The sequence below is a fragment of the Homo sapiens genome, chromosome 4, assembly GCF_000001405.40.
Source record: "Homo sapiens chromosome 4, GRCh38.p14 Primary Assembly".
NCBI lineage: Eukaryota > Metazoa > Chordata > Mammalia > Primates > Hominidae > Homo > Homo sapiens.
Genome location: NC_000004.12, coordinates 163,538,253 through 163,561,363, shown reverse-complemented (window position 1 = coordinate 163,561,363; position 23,111 = coordinate 163,538,253). Strand labels below are relative to the sequence as shown.

Below are 23,111 nucleotides of genomic sequence, written 5' to 3'. Positions count from 1 at the left end.
GAACTAGCTATAAGAGAGAATACAAAATGTAAAACCTAAAACAATTATACTTTTAGAAGAAGGCATAGAAAAAATTTGTATGACTTTGAGATGGGCAAAAATATCTAGATATGACTGACATCCAAGCAAACAAAAGTTTCTAATTGTAATATAGATAATATAGATTTTAGTTGACCTATATGATATCATGTATGTAGCCATCAAAAATGAAATACATGTACATGATATATTGTTACATTTTAAAGCAGTTATCATTGAAGCATGTTAGTATAATTTTGTTTTTTTATTTAGAAAGAAAACTGTTATTTGACATTTCATTGAAGGTTCTAGCCAGTGCAATAAAGCAAGAAAAACAAATAAAAGCATCTCGATTGGAAAAGATTCAAAAAAGTGGATTTTATGCACAAATGACATGATTATCTATGTAGAAAATATGATGGAATCTACCAAAAAGCTACTAAGACTAAGAAGTGAATTTAGCAAGATTGCAGGATGTAAGCTCAATATATAAAAACCAAATGTATTTCTGTACACTAAAAGCAAACTATTGTAAATTGAAATCTTTAAAAATATTATTTGCAATAGCATTTAAATTATTAGATACTTAGGGATAAATATGACAAAAAATACACAAGACCTGTACCTTGAAATCTACAAAACATTGTTGAGAGAAATTAAAGACCTAAACGAATGTAGATGTCTATTATTGTCATGGGTTGGAAGACTCAATATTGTGAAGAGGTCAAACTCTTCCCCCAAACTAACCTACAGATTCACTACCATACCAATAAAATTCACAGCATGAATTTTTAAAATAAATTGCCAAAATAATTTTAAACTTCAAGTGGAATGCAAAAGAACTAGAATAGCCAAGTTAACTTTGAAAAATGACAAAATTGAAGGAATAATACCTGATTTAAAGACATATTATACAGCTACCAAAGTCAAGGCAGGGTAGTATAGTTGTTAAGACTGACAAGTAAATTGATGGGCCATAATAGACAATCCAGCAATAGAGCCACACATATACAGTCAACTGATTTTCGATAAAGCAATTCAGCAGGGAAAGGAAGATGTTTTTAATAAATGTAAAAAAATTATCTATATCTCACACCATATACAAAAATCAACTCAAAATGTATCCTATAAATATAAAACCTAGAACAGAAACACTTCTACAAGAAAACGAAGGAGAAAACCTTTATGACTTTGGGTGAGGTAAAGACATTTGGATGTAACACCAAAAGCAAGAAACAAAAGAACAAATTGATGTATTAAATTATGTCAAAATTAAAAACATCTGCTTTTCAAAAGTTACTTTTAAGATAAATTGACAAGCCATATATTGGAAAATAATATTTTCATATCAAATGTCTGATAAAGAACTTATATTCCACATAAATAAAGAAATCTGAGAACTCGACAATTAGAGAACACTGTATAACAAAGAAAAATGGGCAAGAAATTTTAAGACATGCCACTAGATTTCCGAGGCTGACACTCTTCCTATATGTACAAATGTCCTGAGGCATTGTAGAAGGCATTGTCCACACTGGTTATTCAGATAAACACTGAGAGAGAAACTGTGGCAAGGAAGGGGACACTCCTCTGCTTGGCAGCCAAAGACTGAAGTGACAGATGGAGATAAATTAAAGTCCTCTTGGGCCCCACTGATGTGAGGAATAATAGACATAGGACACAAGTGCAGATAATCGGAGGTTCTAAAATAAAGGACCATCTTTGAGAGGTGACTCAAATCCAGTGGTGGCTCCTGTCATTTAAACTATGTTTCTCAAAGTGGTTCTGTGTTAGATCTCTTCTCCGAGTTCTTACTAAGCAATGGGACCACAGTCTGCAGCTTCTCATTGTCATCATCCAGGTTCCCAACATGGATGTGGTTTTTTCTTCTTCCTCCATCCTTTGACTTCTTCTTAGTTCGAAAGGAACCTTCCTTTCTACTTTCCAAATCGCCAACCACTCCCTATATTTCTGCATTGCATTCTGCTAGTGCCCCAAAGAAATGAAAATATACAAAAACTAAAGTTGCATTTTAAAATGGTTTGAATATTTACATTCCAATACATTTGTGTGTATACTTGAAGACTAAAAGAGGACATACATTGCAAATGAGATTATGAATAATTTTATTTCCGTTTTAGTTTTCTATGTTTTATACATTTTCTACAATGAACATGCAATTAATAAAAAATAAGCTATTGTATAAAAGTTGAAAGAGACATAGAAATAGGTTTTAATGCTGAAGGGAAGGGGGCTATAGGGCTAGAAAGAAATTAAATGTAAATGAAAAAATATAATCAAAGGATCAAGGGTCATGGAGAATGATGAATTTGGACTGTACGGGAACATTTTGTCCTCATAAATAAGAGGAGAGGAAGTGAAAAGGGTGTGATGCAGTTATAAATGTATCTATTCTGAGGACAGGAAGTTAAGGGAGTTTATCTGTGAGAGGATCAATGTTCTCTGAAGTAGAAGTCATATTTAATAAGACCCACTGTAAGACAGCAGTTCTTTTTATTCTCTGGATTGTGGGGGCCACAAGCTGCTCACCCTCTCTCTAGGGCACGCTCCACGCAGCTGCAAGAACAGGCTTTCTGAAACCCTGGCAACGCAAAAGCCTGTTTACCTTACTCCTTAGAGATCTGCTTAAACATAGCCCACATTTCAAAACCATGCCTGGCCTGAGCCAATCCACACCCCTCATGTGCTCTCTGCAAGTGCCTGCAGCTCATCGTCCTGTTTCTGCAGACTCTCTCTATACGGGCTGTCCCTCAGCTGTTGATGTAAACCTGAGTTCAAAGATCAGTTACTTCCTAGATTTTTGTCCCTAAATCCAGTCACTTCAGCAATGACCAAGTTGAGTAGCAGAAGACCCATCCTGAAGCCAGAGAACCTTCTATCTTCTCCGAAGCATCTCCTCCACTTGCTCAAGCATCTCCTCAGAACAACAGAAAAACTCTTCCTACTGCCTCACTCAGAAGAGGTCAGCTTACATTTGTGTCCCTTGTAATCATGCTTTCTACCCCAAATAGTCATAAAGAGATTCCTTTTGAACGAATTCCATGAAGGAAATCTGGGAAGAACACTTTCTACTTCTCCCTGCACATTGAACCGTTCACGCCTGTTCCACACCCCATGTTTCCCCGCTCCGGATGATAATCGGGGGTCCTCATCATCTGGTCCTGCCCACTCTTCCCCCCTCACCTGTGCCCTTCCACCTCATGCTCAGACACTCAGTCATCTCAGTTTCTTCAGACAAATCTCTATTCCATGCAACTCCATGTATTTTCACAGAACCCAAATTTTTCTTTTTTCCCCCTCTTTGTCATGGTCAGCTCAAGTATCAGAAGACTTTTATGTTCTTCAATAGAAAGGAGATGTTTAAATGGGAATATTAAACCTTCCTGCTCCATTTTCAGTGTGGACGCTGAACCTTACCTCCTTGCTTTCTGTAAGAACAAATTACTGGAATAATATTAGATTGGTTTAACATTTAATTTCTATCCCCTGGCTGTGATCCAATAATGCTAGAGAAATGGACAACTGAATCTTCAGTGAAAAAGTATTCAACATGAAGATTTATAAATAATAATCATAATAGTAAATAAGTGGGAATGAAGGATATAGGCAAAAGAAAAGCAAGGCTAACCCATTTTTATTAGGTTTCCAAAGAGAGAGGAAAGAAAAACGACAGGCTATTAAAGAACTTTTAAATGAGTTCCTTTCATGTTCAGTTCTCACTCTTGAGCTTTAGGAAGAAAAATGGGAACTGTTCTAGAATGTGAAAAATTATCACCTATGTCTCAAAAAATTTCACATAGAAAGCATAAAGGCCTCAGGAATCATTACAAAAAAACACACCCCTTGGCATGGGCTCCCAAAGACCCAGACAAATTATTCTGGTATCCTTGGAACTGAATGAGATTCTTAGTCCCCCTGAAGCTTTCTTTGGTTCAAACCAACTGCTGTCTAATTAGAGGAAAACAGTATTTGGAGATGATAGGATAGGACAGCTTATACAGCAAAATAATTAAACAAAGTTGAATATTGCCATGTAAACACAAATGAGCATTTTACACTTTCTCCCATCACCCAGTAGGATGAGAATCAACATTTGGGATTTCATCCTAAATGCTGTAAATGAGGAAATTTGGCCAGTTGTGGTTGCAAAGTCATTTTTTGATTTCCAAACATACCGAGTCCCTGAACCACAAGTTTCATTTCCCGCCTGTGGAGATTATGTATACCTCCAACCCTTCCCTGCTATCGCTATTAAATCAATTCAAGGGAGAGCAGTTTAAAGCAAGGACTTTAACTTGGAAAATGTCTCCGATTTCTTTGAGAATCCATTGAAAATCATGGACCTTTCCCCAGAAAAAAATAAATGCACACAATATTTTGTATACAATTTAAGAAATTTCTATACCCCAAAAGAATCTTCTCTTTAAAAAAAAAAAAAAATCTTCAGTTTTAGGACAAAATTCTTAAGAAACGCTGAGTCAGTATGGTGCCAAAAACAAATTCAAATGTAATATATTGAGCCAATTAATCATGCTTGATATCAAAGTACTGATAAAATGGATTTTTAGATATAGTAACTAAAACACTATTTTTTAAAGTATTATTATATCCAAAACTGGAACCAATACTTCAAGTTTCACAGGCTCTCATTTAAACTGGAGTAGAATATATGTACAAATATATATTCTGTTTTATTTATATATAAATCGTATATATATGATTTATTTCAAGTGTATATGTGGCTAAGAGACTCTCGAGAGTAAAAAAAAAAATCAACTCAATTACATTAAATACAATGTTCAGATGTGACACTGCTATTAAAGAGTGCAAATAGGATGTAAGAATTTTTTTGACCCATGAGAATAAGCATCAACAATGGATTGTCAGTAGATGAGCTTACTGTGGGTAGATACAAATAGACGGTTCCAAAAAGATTCTCTTTTTATTTGCTGCCACCCAAAGGAATATTCTAGAAAGACATTTCTAAACATACACAACAGAATTGAGAAAGGGATAGAAGCACTTATGAAATCAAAACCTATTATCTCTTATTGATGGAAAATTACACAGTTCCCTATTTTAACAACTACACAAAATTCCACAATTGGGACCCTAATATAAGCTTCATCAAAGCAGAAATCTTGGCTGTCTTCTTCCCTAGCATCCTACAACAATGTCCGATACATTGTGATGCTTTAATAATTAGCTCCTGAACGAAAAAAAATCTAATAATGTCATCTAATAATGACTGGGTAAGTCAACTCAGTGCTCTGGGCCTCAGTTTCTTCAACTAGAAAATGATGGGGTAAAATTGGGTATTTTTAAAAGCTTTTCTCTTTTAATCTTCCCAGTGTCTGTGCTTCTGCTTAGTACACGAGCACTGTCTCCTAAACGGCAAGGCTATGATCACTTAGGCACAGAGAGTGACCACAGACCTGTGCAGATTCCACGTGTGCCATAGCTGTTCACTGAAGAGGTAAGAGGCGAAGAGCCCACAACAGAAATGGGCTTCCAGGGAAAACATCATCAATGGCAGTGTCATCCAAGAGTCCGCTCGGCAAGGGTTTCAACCTCTGGGGAAGAGAGACTATGCCACTGTGAAATGTAACCCAATTATTCCTTTTGTTTTCTTTATGAAGCCACAATCCATAATTAAGTATCCTCATGGACACAGCTCAGTAGATTTTCTGCTGGTTCAACATGCCTGAAGCAGTAATATACTGACTTCTCTTTCAGAATGTGTGATAAAATATCTTTCACCATAACCTCCGAGAGAAAACAGACAACCAAGTATTGATTCAATATTTTTAAAGGAACTTTGTTTAAATGCATCTATTAATTAAACTTTCAAGTAATTTGTGTTCTTACATGGTGATATTAATCAACTCAGATTTAGGTGAGTTTTTTGGGGGGATATGGAAGGAGGTGAAAGTATATTCACTCTGTGAAAAACCGTCAGATATTACAATGCCACTCTAAAATATGTCCCTGAACTTTTCCTTCCTTAGGGAAGTAATTGTCAAAGTTCAGCATATATAAAAATCTCTCGGAGTGCCTGCCAGGAATGCAGATTCCTAGGCCACACCCCCAGATATAAATCTGGAACAAAGCTTAGGAATTTGCAATTTTAACTTTTATCCCAACAGTTCCACTGCAAATGTGCCTAAATCCCACATATTATATCTACCCTCAGGACAGATATACAAACATTTTTCCATTTCTCTTTTTTCCATTCATATCATCATTATGCGTGATATCATTACTCCCTCTAGTGGATGATTTTACTCAGCACCTTTTTTTCTATATTACAAATATCTTGCTTAAAACTTTTAGGAAATCCCATCTGTCATGAAAATCTTGAAAGAAACCAGTGAGAGATCAAGACAAGGTTTATAAGAAAAATTATTTTGGTAATCTAACATTGGGCTCATATATATTTACATATGCATGTAATAAGTAATGTGCATATATTTTGTAGAGAAATTCTTAATCATCATTTAGTTGACTGAACATAAAATGGCTTATCTGTTTTATAAAAATAATTTGGTAGCTTTGAATTTACTGGTCACACTATTTTTAGAATATTTATGCCTGGTTTACTTCCCTGTTTACTATGTGCTAACTAGATTATCTCATATAATTCCAGCAAACTCTATACAAGAGACACTGTTGTCATCCTGATTTTACCAATGAGAAAACTGAGGCATTAGGAGGTTAGGTTACTTGACCCAAGCCAGACAGGGGTCTCTGACCCAAGTCTCCCTAACCCAGGAGTCTGAGTTCTTAGTTGCTTCGCTCCAAGCCTCTCTGACCATGTGGCTTCTAGCCTGTTCGACCTAACTACCACATTGTACTCCTCTCCCTCCACACCACCCCAGGCCTCCTGCTCCTACCCCAGCTCTCTCTGCTCTCCATTGTTCTTTCCAACACCTTCTATGTTCCCTTGGCCTCTGACTCTACTAATACCTTTGCATTTGGACAATTTCTCATCTGGCAGTTGTTAACACCTCTCTCATGCATCCAGCAGCACCACTGAGTCACAATTCTTAGTGGCGTATTCCTCACATTGTAAACTAACGTGACAAGCATATCAGTACAATATATATCTCTTACTATTACTTTAAATAAATGCACCTTTTTCTAAAGCCTTAAAAATGATATTTCAACCATGCTTGGATTTATAAGTTGCATTTTCCCTGCTATCACACCTCTATTTTTTACTCAACTGGTGTGTCTCAAGTACTAGTCTAAATACTGCAAAGCAATGTGAGCCCTTCTTGGTAAAATACTGTATCAGCTAACCCCAAAAATGTTTTTGAAAAGTAAAAGAGTCTTCATGTATAGAAATCCAAGTGAATTAGCTTTTGAGGAAAAGAGCCATTTTTTTCATGTATCCATTCTTGGGTAGCTTCTTGGATTTTGCAGTCACTAAGTTTGTTAGAATAGCATCCCTGGGGCAGAGACAGCGGGACCTTTCTAGTCAGACTGCTTCTCATGTCCTGCGATGCCCACAGAAGACATAATTCTAAGCCACACACCCACGCTCATGCTTTGAGTTTATTTGGAATGTTTGAGTTCCTTTAACCTTTTGTGAAATCTGTCACCCAGAGCAGTATGTCTTTGGGAAACATGAAACCTTAAGATACCATTTTGAATTTGACAACAAGAATGAGAAGTTACTGGGGCATATATTAAAACCTATAATGATATTTGCTCCATTTCTTACAGAAATGAAGCCATCATTGTGCCATCTTTTAGCTGTTTCTACCTAGTATATGCAAAGTAACTTTTGTAATAACCCTTCTTATCTTTGTTCACATAGTTAATAAAAATAGATTGTATTTTCCTGATATGAGACATATGAGACTCAGTATTCCGAAAAACATATTTGTACTTAGAAAACAGAAGTGGGGAACAGGTGCTTTCGCTGACTTAATTCTGCCTGAACAAATCTCATCTTCATTCCTCAGAGATGTTATCAGCATGACGCATTAATCTAGACAGTAAGAACAACTGAGGTCTAATTGGATGCGGTGCTGCAAGCTCCAAGTTGTGATAACTGCTAACATTTATTGAATTCTTTTTAAGTGCCTGATAGTGTTCTGCATTTACATGTATTAAGTTGCTTAGACTTTACCCTGCAAAGTAGGTTCTATTCTAATCACCATTTTACAGATAAAGAAATGGAGGCACAGAGAATTAAAATAACTCACCCAAGGTCACACAGTACTTAGTGGCAGAGCTAGAATTTGAACCCAGAGCGCTCATTCTTCTTTTTTTTTTTTTTTTTTTGAGACGGAGTCTCGCTCTGTCGCCCAGGCTGGAGGGCAGTGGCGCGATCTCGGCTCACTGCAAGCTCCGCCTCCCGGGTTCAAGCCATTCTCCTGCCTCAGCCTCCCAAGTAGCTGGGACTACAGGCGCCCGCCACCATGCCCAGCTGATTTTTTGTATTTTTAGTAGATGCAGGGTTTCACCACGTTGGCCAGGATGGTCTCAATCTCCTGACCTCGTGATCTGCCCACCTGGGCCTCCCAAAGTGCTGGGATTACAGGCCTGAGCCACCGCTCCAGGCCCCCAGAGCCCTCATTCTTAAACACTTGTTGGATCACAGACAGAATACACCACACAGCTGCACGGTTCATTCCTCAGTGATGGATTCAACGAGGCCTGAGTGTGTCTATAGGGAACTTGATGCCCCAAATGATCCTGTCAAACAGCTAATACTGAAAACCACTTCTAGTTAGAAAAGACTCCCATTACCCAGCAGTTCAGAATGCAAAAGGAGACTCAAACTGAGTGGTAGCAAAATGAAGCCATTGATTTCAGGGTCTTAGATATGCCTCTTTGTGGAACTGTTTATTACCGTTTTTCAGTAAGACTGCCAATTACTTGCAGTGGTATCTTTACCCAAACCTGGGTCTCAGTTAACTACTTCCCCCGATTCTAAACCGCTGCGTGCACACACTGTCTCAAGATGGTAGCTGTTAATTTGCTGTCTATATTTGGGTTGGTGATCTCCCAGGTCCATCTGGACACATGGCCCATTCCTCACTGTTTCCACTTGCAGTTCCTTTGGATTGCAGATCCTAATCTTTGGTGCAGTACAAGACCTTCTTGTACTGTTATCAGGAGAGACAGAGGAGCTGCACTTAATCAGAAAATAGTGTCCCCTCACATTGGGCCATGTACAAAAGATGTCAAATGATTATCACTGGTGGACCTAACGTGGAAGAGAACTAGGGGAGAAAATGTTTTTTTAAGGAAATGATAGACTCACAGAGCATTTATGGCTATTATATCTGAGGTTTTGACTCTTAGTAAGAAAGCCTTCATGTACATGCTTATCTGTAAAGGGACTTATATTAGTCCCTTTTTGCACTGCTCATAAAGACATACCTGAGACTGGGTAATTTATGAAGAAAAAGAGGTTTAATGGACTCATAGTTCCACATGACTGGGGAGGTCTCACAATCATGGCAGACAGTGAAAGGCATGTCTTACACGGCAGCAGGCAAGAGAGAGACCTCATGATCTAAAACCATCAGATCTCGTGAGACTTATTCACTACCACAAGAACAGTATGGGGGAAGCCATCCTGATGATTCAATTATCTCCTACCAGGTCCTTCTCATAACATTTGGGAATTATGGGAGCTACAATTCAACATGAGATTTAGGTGGGGACACAGCCACTATATTACTGTAATTCTGAGAGAACAAGTTTGCACTTGTGTACACTTCCTGATTTGTGTCCAACAGTGAGTGCCTTAACTAGTGAACTTTACCAGCTGCCTACCACCTACCTGGCTTTGTTGTTTCCTCCCTATCATCAGTTTTGTAGCAAATTTCACTAAAGGTCTGCAGAGGTCAAATTTTTCTGCTGGTCTTTTAAAATACATTTTTAAGAGGGAAATTATTTACCATAGGCATACCTCTGAACTTAAAGATTTATTAAGGTTCAAGAGTTACTCCTCATAATTAAGAGTCTGTTGTTTAGTTCTCTCCCAGAGTATTTGAAATTGTTACTAGTATAATTAGATTTTAATAGGCTTTTATGTTACCTAAACACTAATTTGAAAAGTAAAACAAAAAATGAAAGTTTGCTTTAGTGATTAATGAGCTAACTCTGAATCATTTCAGTTCAAATAAATGAATTATGTAATTTTTTTCAGTCGACCTGAAATATTTAAATCACAGCCAGAAAACAAAACTCATTTGTTGATTACCCTTTCCTGGACTACTAATTAGTTCATGACAGGGAGTGACAAGTACTACTTCTGATATAAACTCCACGGAGGTCACCGTGCAACTCTGCTAAGTGTCATCCTTTAGGCAGGTGGTTCTCTAACTGTAGCTTGCATCGGAATCACCTGAGGGCTTGTTAAAGCACATTACAGGGTCCCCATCGCCAGAGTTTCTGATTCCGTGAGTTTGGTGTGGGGCTCAAAATACTGGGTTTCTAACAAGTTTCCTGATTGCTGCTGCATCTGCTACTGGGGAACACTGAGAACCACTGCTTCATATGAATGGGTCCTCTAGAAATTTCTCCAGCATAGCAAGTCCAAGGATTTGTAAAAGGTTTACTTATTATCCTCCAGCACAACATATCTTACTAAGGCATGTAAATAATGTGATAACCTTTACACTTGCTGTTTCAGGTATTATTTTCGCTCGTCTGCAGCAAAATCCAATATGACAGGCAGAGCCAGTAAACAATTAAAATGTGGCTTTGCATTTATGCAAAATGACAGGAAGAACCTGCACACCTGGCCGGCTGGGAGCTCCTGGGTCTGGCGGTACCAAAAAAAAAAAAAAAAAGGGCTACCGTACTAGCTACTGTTTGGGCCTGGCGCCACCTGGTGGTAATTTTTTGGTCTATCATTCTATAGATTGAAAACTCTAGGTCACGTGACTGTTACGGAAGCTGGAAACCATAGGTGAACTGTCAAGAAAAAAGACGAAATGGATTTAATGGATTTGGCAAAGTAGTCCCTACCTCCTGCTTTTTTCTTTTCTTTTCTTTTCTTTTTTTTTTTTTTTTTTTGAGACGGAGTCTCGCTCTGTCGCCGAGGCTGGAGTGCAGTGGCGCGATCTCGGCCCACTGCAATCTCTGCCTCCCGGGTTGAAGCGATTCTCTTGCCTCAGCCTTCCGAGTAGCTGGGACTACAGTCGCCCGCCGCCACGCCTGGATAATTTTTGTATTCTAGTAGAGACGGGGTTTCACCGTGTTGCCCAGGTTGGTGGCGAACTCCTGCGCTCAGGCAATCCGCCCGCCTTGGCCTCCCAAACTGCTGGGATTACAGGCGTGAGCCACTGCGCCCGGCCTGCATTTTTATGTTATACAAATAAACTGCCTTTATTCTTCACTGGTATAAAGATTTAAACAACACTTTTCTGTGGGCAGTACTTTTAAATTTATATTTTAGGACAGAATATAATGCAAGTAATTTGAATTAGAAAACCTGACCCTATCATGCAAAGTTTGATTTAACTTCATCAAATAGACAATTTCACAGAAACAATGTTTGCATCAAGTTATACTACAATTCAGAAAAAACATACAGTCATATTTTTCTAAGTGAATAATAGAGTTCTGTTGGATTTCTTTCTATTGTTTAGTGGCTTCTGCAAAAAAAAAAAAAAAATCAAAAGCAAGAACAGTAAAACAGGCACCAAAGGCCCAGGGACTGTAAAGTCCAAAGCGAGGTTCAAGACTACCTATGCAGGAAGTGCTAAGATTTTGTGAAACTACTTTTGCCTAATCTTAGCTCATCCCCCATCTTCAAGGTATAAAGGAGAACTTGAAGACTAAGGAAGGGCAGATCAGAGGGTCGGCAGTGTAGACATTGGTGAAAAGTATGGTGGTGTATGTGCTGTCGTGCGTTCCTTCTCCCTGACCTTTGGGAAACGGGAAAGGGAGCTGCCGTCTTACCATTTCCACCAGCTTCCTTGAGACCCCTTGGAGAGATAACGTCTTCTCAACACCGAGAGACTTGAGGATAAAATATTCGACTCAGGCCCAAGCAATAAGCAAAAGAAACTTTACTTCATCACTGACAAGGCAATAGTTTGTATTTTCTAGGGGGCATGTGGGAAAAACTAACATAGAGTCATCTCCAAAGCGGAGCTCAAGAATTTACAAAAAATTAGCCAGGCGTGGTGGTGGGCGCGTGTAGTGTGCCTGAGTGAGGCTGGCACTGCTGAGGCTGATCAGGGACCACACTTTGGGGACCTGAAGAGGATCTTCTCAGGAACAACCTTCTCTAGAGGTGTAACCATGGTAACAATATACTCCTGGTAACAGGGCCATAAGTCACACGTTATTTGGTAAAGCAGGACAGGGGAGCAGAAATGCTATGAAAAGTTTCACAGATTATCACTTGCCTATCACGAAATCTTTTGTGAACTGCCACTGAATTTCAGCATCATGAATATTAATTGAAGGCACTTTCATGACAGCTTTGTTAAAATAAGATTTCTATCCTTATCCTCTCCATTTCTCATTCTTAGTAAGGCTTGCAAAACATACTGAAATTTTGTAAACAAACCTGAAAAGACAATATGAAGGGAAAGGTTTATAAAATACATTGATTTCTGCCAGCGCCATTTACTGAATATTGCATGCAGTAATGTAGTCGTTAGGAAGAGGGCACTGTGGCATTACATTTACTTGTGTGCTGTCTAGTGAGTTTCTAAATGGTTCCTGTAAGGATTTATAAAGTGGAAAACGTGGATGGTTCCCTTATGCTTCACTTCTCCTTAGAATGTTAACTGCGATTTAGAAGTGACAACTTCAGAGCTTCTATTGTCTGGAACTAGATGAATCTTTACAAATGATTTGGTCCATTCTTGTCAGCCCCACTGATATTTTTCTATTTGAGGAGCCTTACTTTTTAATAGTGTTCCAGCCATTTAATCAAATTGCTCCATAGATAGAAGTCCCAATTTTAATAGTATTTTAAGCCAATTTTATAATTGAGGGTTGATTTGATATGAATATTTCGTTACTGCAAGTATTCTATCCACTTGCAACACAGAAACTTTAAAAACGTGAAGCTGTTTTTCCATACCAGCTTCCACTTTTTATCTGTCTGTATTAAATACTGAAGTAATTCAAGGAATATTTATTAAATTGCAAAATGCTATTGCCAAATAATAATATTCTATGATTATATGTGTTATTCAGATTAATACGACAATAAACCAAAGCCAAAACAGGATTTTTAAAAAATCAATCTTGCACGGACATGAGGTTTTGAAAAAACTCAATTAACATTAAAATCTTCTCAGTTCAAGACTGATTAATTCAAAATAGAGTCTAAATTGAAACATCTGTTTATTCCTTAATCACATTATTAATATTTACCCTTTGTTATGCTTGGAATAATATATAAATATAGTTTGATAAAAAACAAAGTACAAGATAAAGAATGAATTTTTAATTAACTCTAACAAACTCCTTCAAGGAAAATTACATGATGATTGGCCAGTAGGAGGAGAGGAAGGGATGGTGTTTGTAAATAAAATATTTCTTTCTCTAAAATGTTTAAACTGCTCTAGAGCATCAAGGTCATACTTGAAGTATCATGCTCTCTTGCAAATGAAATTATAGGCTCTTATTCCATAGACTGGAAGAGAAGCTAGGAAGTATCTATTTAATTCTTTTACCAATAATTGCATTTGACAGCAAGTGGCAGAGACCTGGGAAATAATGGCTTAATCAGGAAGACAACAGGATGGCCAAAGGCAAGCTGTTGCTGATTGGGCTGAGAAAACTCCAGTTCTCAAGATTTTTCCTCAAGATTGCAAGATGAACACTCTCCCACTTAATTATGAATTCCAGGTAGCAAAGAGCAGAAAATGAAGGAAAGGACAATACCTACATTAGAAAGGCAAAAACTTAATGTCCCACTAGATATTGGCTCACATCTCATTGCTGGAAAATAATCAATGTACACCTGAGCCAAGAAAGGTTGGAAAGGCAGCTTTAAGATGGGCACAATGCCGACTCTAATGAATTAGTTTGTTAACAGAAGAAGTGAAGAATGGTTATTCTCTTCTCCACCTCTGTCACAGCCTCTGTTGAAATCTGCTCCTCATGAAGACGAGGCAGTGAGGCCCAGAGAGAGTACATGATTTTAACCACGTCTCAAAGCTGGTGGCAGAGACAGGACTTTATGTACCACAATGTACGCCATCTTGTTTTTGGGTTGTGCATTGAAATCCACATGTGGGATGGTCAGGTGGGGAAGGAATGGGGTCTTCTGAAGTTCTGAAGATTTTGCTTTAGTGAGGGCGTAATAATGTAAAGAATCCTAGATTATTAAAAGCTTGGCATGTCAGTTCACGTCTAATAAAATCACTGTAATTTTTTAATGGAAAGAATGCAAAGAAAAATAAAAACACAATTCCTAACATAATAATGAAGTGATACTGTAGCTACAAAGACATTAAAATATATTTTGAGAGGCTATTTCTTCAAAGTAAATATGGGAGATATTCCCTTATGGAGACCATAACTTCAATAAAACTTGCGGCCTTCTTCCTCTCCCAGACTGAGGGAGCAGCCCTCAACTTTCTCAGGAGTGTGATTAAAGGACAGCGGTCGTCACAGTAGTTACAACCCTTACGGTAGCAGCAACTAAAGGTTGCTCTAAAAGAGGCTTCAGCAGATTTTCTAGTATCGCCCAAGTGATAAAATTTGTTTTTCTATAATAGTTGTGAACAGAAAATGTTGACTTTCTCTTGCAGGTATCATTCGGTCATTCAAATACTTATTAAATTTATACATTCAAGAATGTAAAACTATGTCCAGTTGTGTGATAATCCAAGAAGATAGTGTTACCTATTACTACGTATAACCTAGTACCACAAGGAAGTGATAGGCAGAATCCTGAAAAGGAAGTTTTTAATTGTTCAATATTAAAGCTATCTCATTCTTGGTACAGATGAGGAAACTATAGACTTGCAAAACAGAAATGACTTGATTTAATTCATTTGGAGAATAGAAAATTATTTTTGTTTGCAATTTAATATATATCTGAGTTAGGCCGGGCACAGGGGCTCATGCCTATAATCCCAGCACTTTGGGAGGACAAGGTGGGGGTGGATTACTTGAGCTCAGGAGTTTGAGACTAGCCTAGGCAACATGGTGAGACCCCCATATCTACAAATACATAAAAAAATTAGCCAGGCATGGTGGTACATACCCATAGTCCCAGCTACTCTGGGGGCTGAGGCAGAGGTTCTCTTGAGCCTGGGAGGCAGCGGTTGCAGTGACCTGAGATTGTGCCACTGCACTCCAGCCTGGGCGACAGAGTGAGACCCTGTCTCAAAAAAATACACACACACACACACACACACACACACACACACACATATGTATTTAAGTTATATGTAACTCTCTAGGTTATAATTTCATATCTCTCTAAACATGAAGACTTATTTGAATATTACAGTGTCATCTGAAATTGCAGATATTTACTGTTTTTCTTCCATTCATGATCTGTGTCTGGGAAATAAAAGAGGAGCAAAATTTCCTAGTTTGCAATTCAGTTTTGTGTCCTTCATTTCTGATTGCAGTGGGAGAAACTACAGATGACCACAAGTGAAAGGAGGAAAATATTCTGCTCTGTCACATTCCACGTAATCGCGATCACCTGTGTGGTTTGGTCTTTGTATGTATTGATAGACCGGACAGCGGAGGAAATCAAGCAAGGCAATGACAATGGTAAGAGCACATCTTTCTTCTTACCCTCTTGGATCCTAAAGACAATACTCAGAGGTGGATAGGGAAGTTATTTCCCCAGGTTAGGCCTTCATCATGTATGATACACTAGAAAAGCTAGTATTTGCTATTGATTCTTCCCTAATCATGTTATTGATTAAAATACTCTGATTAAAAAGCATTAACTATATGGAGTCCCAAGCTGAGATGTGAAATTCATCAAATCCATATAAAACTTAGTGGCAGTTACACACAAATGGCACACACCACTTCGGGCTTTTTGGGAACTGAATAAGGATCAAGTTCTGCCTGATGTGAAAAGGCAAATGGCTGTAAAAATGAAGGTTTCTCATTTTATTTAATTCACTCTAGTCATCTCTCCTTTAAAGCATGAAGGAGATGGCATTCCAGTAGAGAATGTGTTATAGCTCTTTAGTTAGTACTATATAGTTTGATAGAGTGGGTTAGCACCATGGTTTGACATTTTAGCCATGCGAAGTTTGATTGTGAAGGATGGTGTCAAGTCTGCAAAGAAAAATGTTTCTAAATCAGTAAGGCATATTCTCACATTAAAATGGGTAAGTCACTTAAAACAGAAACAAAAAGAGAAAGCACAATGTCTATAAAATATTATTTTCATGTGTGAAAGGACCCAGTTCTGTTTCTCATTGGGCCCTATAAGTTTTCATACCTTATCCAGCCTAAATCGTTGGTGGTAAAACAGTGAGAAACATCCCCACACTCCCGCAGGAAACAGTATTTAACCACTGATGCCTCTAGAAAAGACATTGTTCAGATAGTAACATTTTGAGTTTGTAATGTTGTGAAAAATGTTTGCACATCCCTACACCCAGAGAAAAAATGGAAGAAAATGAAAGAACAAAAAAAGAGAGGAGGTAAGAAAAATATAAATAAGGAGGAGATTAAAACACAGAAAGGTTGGTTACTTCTGCATTTCTGCGTGGGGATTCATAAACACAGAAGGGGAGGCTCCATTCTCACACTCGCCCTCTAGGTGGCAGCAGCACACGCCAGCGTGCACCGCCCTGAGCATTTCAAAAAGCCGAAAGGGGCTGCGGGGATAAAGGGAAGGCCAGGACCCACGATAGGAATTGTGGATGGGGTTTCTGTGCGTCAAAGAGGGGATGGTGACAGCGTTCCAGGTGCCACTGTCCTTTTCTGGAAGAAAATGAAAGCACTACCGTGTCGAGTCTAAATGCTAGAAAAACAGTTAGGATGGGGTTTTGTGGGTTGTTTTTATGTGTTTATTTATTCCATATTAACTCATTTACATACCATTAATATCAAACTACATTGTTTGCAACTACATTATGTACTGTTTCAGAGAGTCTTGATTTTAAAATGTCACATTACATCCTTATTAAATAAGTTCCCTGAGGGTAGAACTTTCTTTTTCTTTTTTAAATCCAATGTCCTCTCTTGATATAGGTACTGGCCCAAGTAACAAACAGTGTGCTGTACATCCTGCAGTCGCATATGGATGGAAAAACAAAAAGGCATCCCCACCTCGCTTCACCCAATGTCTTACCCTAGAACTCTAGTGTTTTCCTAGCAATCAAGGGCAGACATGATACCCTTAGATTAGATGACACATTTAGAGCTCAGCATTTGAGAACCACAAATTTCCTCCAGGTAATGTAGTCTCTCCCCTCTCCCAGTGGTCACCCTCACTTGGCCTCTTTGTAGTAAACTGCAGAGCTCTTCTCCTCCAGCTACATGAGAAGGAAAGAAAATTAAGAGCCCTTCTCGTAGATGTAAGAAGAGGAAGCAATCTCACGTCATGTATACATAGACCCTCATAGACACCCATAAGAAAACCCCTCTCTTACATTTATTTTATCCAACCACATTTCTAAGACATGTGACTGAATAGCAATCATTTACCCTACAATGAACACGATGGTCTCAACTTCAGCCACAAAAATATCTCCAAAAACCAAGAAACTCATGGCTCCATGCTTTCTTCCATTTTTCTGTCTCCTTGCTCATTCTGTAGGCCCCCGCTGATAACTTCCCAAATTCATTTCCCACTCCTACTGTACTCCAACCCATACATCCACCTATCTTCTGAATGATTGTTTGAAAGTCTCAGCGTGTCGCAATGCATAATCCCCTACCACTTCTCACTCTAACACCTGTGGGAACGGCACCACTAACATCTAGTAGCCAAACCCAGATACACAGCTTTCACTCTGATCTCCTTCCTCTTCTACCTTAAATCAATCACCAAATCCTATTCACTCTGTCTCGAATGCCTCTGGAATCTGTCCATTTCTTTCCTTCCCTATGGCTACCATCCATGTGGAAACTATCATATTTTTAACTTGAAAACTGCAGAAGCTTCTTGACTAGACTTTCTCCAGTTTTGCCAACTTCAACCCAACCCATGCTCAGTAATGTAATCCCAGCAGATTTACAAAAACACAAATCTAATCACATCCTATTCCCACTTAACCATTAAAAGGTAACCGAAATTCCTCAGTGGGACTATGCTGCCCCCGTGACCTAGTTGAAGCCAGCTAGGCCGAACATTCATTCAGCTCCTCAAATCTATATCCAGGCCCTTGCTCAGCTTTCCTCTCTCTGTAAAACATTTCCTTCCAGCTTCTCTTGTCCACCACCACCACACACACTCAAACACTCATATATTCTCACACACCTCCCTCATCCCAACTCAGCCTTTGCAGTTTACCTTAAACATCACTTCCTCTGGGAAACTCATTACAGCTCCCTGAAGTAGGATCGTTATTCCTAGCACAGTGATTCTCAAAGTATGGTCCTGGGACCAACAACATCAGTATCACCTGGGCGTTCACTAGAAATGCATATTTTTAACCTCCTGCTTCCCTAGACCTATGAAACCCTGATGGTGGAGGCCAGCAGTTTGTACTGAAGAAGCCTACAGGTGATTCTGATGCTGGCTAAGGATGGAGAGTCACTGCCCTACCACGTAGTCCCATAGCATCCTGCATTTACCCTCCCCAGGGCTTCTCCACATTTACTGCATGGTAGATTACCTGTGGTATGTTCCTAATGCTGCAAAGCTGGGCTTTATCCCCAGAGGTTTATACTTAGTCACCCTTAGATGATTCTATCATGCAGCTAGGGAAGCTGTGCCTGACTGTGAAACTCACCACATGCCATTGCAATTGCTCATTTAATTGTCTGTCTTCCTTCACCTGCTCAGAGCAGTTGGGGGCTTTCTCTGTCCTGCTCACCACTACATCTCCCCGGTGCTGAACACTGGTCTGGGACCAGGCAAGTAGTCCGGTCAACACTGTACAAGGAATGATGAAGTGTGAATGCCTGGTACCTAAGCTTTTCCACCTCTTATTTTTCTTTTAGAATTGTTTTCAAAATATTTTTTTCTTTCTCAGCTGTGGGTGGGTGCAGGATTCCAGACAGTAACCTCCAGTGGACTCTTCATGACAATCAAGGGTCCGTTTCTTAAAGGAAACTGAAAATGACATGATTTTTATATTTGGCATTTAGAGCCAAAGCAAAACAGAAAGCAAGATATGTATCAAGAAGCAGTGTCCGTGGTAATTCCTGTAGAGCCGCTTGCCAGCGGGACAGCTCTAGAACTTGGGTAATTTCAAATGGAAACCATAGTGACTTTCATACAGGGAATCATTTGTATTTATGTTCAAATTATATTTAAACCTGCTTTCCAATGTGCACATTGAAGAGGAGTGTGGGCATCTGTATAAACTGTTATTTCTTTAATCTTCCTGTGGCATTGGGACTGTGAGTGCTGATCCTGAATTTACTTGTAAAGTTGTTGGGAAAAAATTGCCTAACTTAAAAGAAGTCAACATATTTTAAATCCATCTTGAAAAACCTTTAAAATATTTTAAAAGAAACAAATTTGTCCTTTTTCAGCCAGAATTGAGGTTGAATATAAAACAGCAAAATCTTTTGAACTGTAATGATGATCCTGGAGAGAAAAAAAATTCCTCATATGTCTGTAAATGGTTGTTCTTTTAGATTAAATAGTCATGATGCCACAGAGAGCCCTCATCTCTCTTTCCCCTGCGATGACAGGAAAAAAAATAGCAAATATATGGTACTTGGAGCTTTAACACCCTAAATAAGCCTATCGCTAAGTTTAATTTGGGCAACAGTTGTTATTCTTGCCTTATCTTTACATAGTCTAGAAGAATGCTTCAGTATATTATCTGTGTATAAACAACAAAAATACAAACCAAAAACAACTACAACAATTTACAATATTAAAGAGACTGTAGGTGTAGATAGTAAAGTTGCCCCAGAAGTATTTCAATGTATACATAAGGGACTAGCATAACAAATTGACTTTGTTTTCATGGCTGACTCACTCCCAAGCCTCCAAGCTCCTCCAGGGCAGAGGCCTTGCCTCATTATTCAGAAAATACTTGGTGTTAGTAGAGGCTCAAAAAATGTTTGCTGGCTGTGGCTGACTCCAGCAGATGAGAACAACCCAAAAAGAATAAACACTGGCTTGAGCTAGTTGTCAGAAGGCCAGGGTTCTAGCTCTCCCTTGGTCACTGACTAGTTATTTTTTTTTTCCTTTGAGACGATTTCACTCCTCTCGCCCAGGCTGGAGTGCAGTGGTGCGATCTTGGCTCACTGCAACATCCTCCCCTCAGTCCCCCTCCCTGGGCTCAAGTGATTCTCCTGCCTTAGCCTCCCAAGTTGCTGGGACTACAGGTGGGAATCACCGTGCCCAGCTAATTTTTTGTAGGGACAAGGTTTCATCATGTTGCCCAGGCTGGTCCTGAACACCTGGGCTCAAGCGATCTGCTCGCCTCAGCCTCCCAAAGCGCTGGGATTCCAGGCGTGAGCCACCGCACCCAGCCTAGTTATCTTCAATACAATGATTAATCACTCTGAAGCTCAGTTTTTTCATTTGTAAAACTACCAAGGTTGGAGTGAGTAGCTGCTAAAAGTTATTTCTATGATTTATTATTCAGACAACATGAACTTTACCTTGCATCAAATAGATTGAAACATGGCTATATAAATAATGTACATATATGACACATAATTACTCATGGTGAATATTACCATTAAAACAAGTTAAGAAAAAGGTTATAAATATGTGAAACAATTTTGTTGTTGTTAATAATCTACCCAACTGGAGAGAAGCAACCAGGACAAAAGTAAAGAAGAAAACCCGCTCCCCTCTGCAACCCCAAGGCCCCAATAGCCACCCACACACACCCTTCCTTATACACACACTTCGTAGTTCTGCATACCCTAAGCACCCAGCCAAAATATTCCAACTTAGAGTGAGATGCTTTCTGTAAATACACACAGCCACTGTCACTGTTAAGTGAAACAGGTTCTCTTCTGCTGCTTGGTTGATTTAAAAAAGCTTTTAGACATGCTCTAGGTGTCTCCAGTTGCATGATCTCCTATATAACATTTGCAGAATACTCTGAGAAATCAAATTTCAAAGCTGCAAGAGACCTTAGAGATCATTATTTATAGATGAGGAAATAAGCAATTTGCCTGATCTCCAGCTGTATTATAAATGCCCACCTGGGAGCTTCTGCTTTACCCAATTTGACTTAAAGAGAAAATACAAAAGTGAGATGTTACAGGTATGCCCCTGTGCCTTCAGGGGAGAGGAACCAGGACCCCATTCTATTACCAAAGGAAATATATTTTCAGAGAAACAGTATTTCTGGAAAGTAAATGAGTCTAAAAGGATCTGGTAGATGAACTCCAGCTGATAAGCCATTGTCACTGTGGTCTGAAAGGTTGGCAGAAATATTTCCTAACAAATACAATATACATAATTGCTACTTAAGCATTTAAGGGTGTTTTAGTTTATTTTTTGATGGGATTTCTGAGCATTTCTCCTGACGAAGGGAATTGTAACTGCAAGAGATGACCAGAAACACACTATGACTAAACGCCAGTGGCCTGGCTGACAACTAACTAGACTTCCTCCCTCTGTGATTCTGGAGAGAAGCTTACCTTGAGTCAAGCTGGGACACCCTAAACTTATAACACAGTGAAGTTAGAAAGATCTTACTGGTAGACACCTGTGAAAGCCCCGCTCTTAACCTACAGCTGAATCAGCCAAAGGTGTGTAGCGTTCAAATCACACAGATAATAACAATAATGAAAACTTATATTTACACTTCCTATGTGTCACGCACCGTTAATTTGTTTAACTCACACTAACAACCATATGAAATTGGTAGATACTATTACCTCCAATTTTAAGTAATGTATCAGTTGGCTTTAGCTTTATAAAAACCATCCCAGGCTGGGTGTGTTGGTTTAAGCCTGTAATCCCAGCACTTTGAGAGGCCAAGGTGGGCAGATCACTTAAGGTCAGGAGTTCAAGACAAGCCTGGCCAACATGGTGAAACTCTGTCTCTACTAAAAATACAAAACTTAGCTGGGCATGGTGGTGCATGCCTGTAGTCCCAGCTACTCAGGAGGCTGAGGCCAGGAAATCTCTTAAACCCAGGAGTCAAAGGTTGCAGTGAGCTGAGATCGCACCACTGCACTCCAGCTTGGGTGACAGAAGCAAGACTCTGTCTCAAAATAAATAAATAAATAAATAAATAAATAAATAAAAGCATCAGGAGAGAGCGAAACCACCATCTGCAAACACACTTAAAGTTTCCGAATGAGTTGTGTTTCCTATTGTCCTATTGGCCAAAGCAGGTCATATGACCAAGACCAGTGTCAATAGGTGATGGGATACCCCAGGACAGGATTACCGGGAGGCATGAGCCAATCAGGGGCTATTATTGAAACAAGCTATCAAGGATAAAGAAATTGAAACCAAAGAAAATAACAGAACAGGCTTAATATCTCAAGGAAATGAAATAGCTATCTGAGTTTAGGTGGATAAAGATGTAAAGACTGAAGTAGACTCTTAGGAATAGGGTTCTTCGGAATAAAATCCGTACCCCTCGAAAACAAGTGGAGATTTTGCACAGGAAAACTACTCTTGAGAAGCCATTAACCTTAATAAGAGAAATCCTCTTAGGGCATGGGCTGTAAAGAAATTAACCAGAAGTCTGAATCATTTGGGGATTTGGCTATTCCTTAGCCAGGAAAGAGATGAAAAATTCAGTCCGTTGCAGAGGTCCTGTTTATAACTAATGCTTAATTCTCAGGTTCCTGGTGGGGAACCTGAGCTCTTGGATAACCCATGTTGGGTCCATGTCTCCTGACCCAACTCCAATAGAGTACAGGATTAGGAAGATGTGGGGGATTTGTGTGTGTGTGTGAAAAAAAAAAATTTATAAATTTTACTTTTTTATTTTTGCCTTTTCATTCAAGTTTTTTAAATACTGTTACTTTTAACCTGGACATCC

At 38.9% G+C, this 23,111-nt stretch overlaps 1 protein-coding gene across 7 annotated transcripts in view, besides 3 other annotated features; it reads left to right on the top strand.

Annotated features, from left to right (window-relative positions):
* Positions 1 to 23,111, top strand: part of MARCHF1 (membrane associated ring-CH-type finger 1) — an 859,722-nt gene that overhangs the window by 822,656 nt on the left and 13,955 nt on the right. For all 7 annotated transcript variants that reach the window (XM_017008336.2, XM_017008335.2, NM_001166373.2 and 4 more), the window contains one exon: positions 15,621 to 15,768. In XM_017008336.2, coding sequence (XP_016863825.1) covers positions 15,621 to 15,768 — 148 coding nt within the window. The remainder of the gene's footprint in view (positions 1 to 15,620; positions 15,769 to 23,111) is intronic.
* Positions 10,710 to 11,209: an enhancer, noted in NCBI's record as "H3K4me1 hESC enhancer chr4:164471307-164471806 (GRCh37/hg19 assembly coordinates)". NCBI's record gives its function as "activates a minimal SCP1, AML or CMV promoter by ChIP-STARR-seq in naive H9 embryonic stem cells {active_cell/tissue: H9 hESC(naive)}" and the evidence as "EXISTENCE:reporter gene assay evidence [ECO:0000049][PMID:30033119]".
* Positions 11,210 to 11,711: an enhancer, noted in NCBI's record as "H3K4me1 hESC enhancer chr4:164470805-164471306 (GRCh37/hg19 assembly coordinates)". NCBI's record gives its function as "activates a minimal SCP1, AML or CMV promoter by ChIP-STARR-seq in naive H9 embryonic stem cells {active_cell/tissue: H9 hESC(naive)}" and the evidence as "EXISTENCE:reporter gene assay evidence [ECO:0000049][PMID:30033119]".
* Positions 20,044 to 20,543: an enhancer, noted in NCBI's record as "H3K4me1 hESC enhancer chr4:164461973-164462472 (GRCh37/hg19 assembly coordinates)". NCBI's record gives its function as "activates a minimal SCP1, AML or CMV promoter by ChIP-STARR-seq in naive H9 embryonic stem cells {active_cell/tissue: H9 hESC(naive)}" and the evidence as "EXISTENCE:reporter gene assay evidence [ECO:0000049][PMID:30033119]".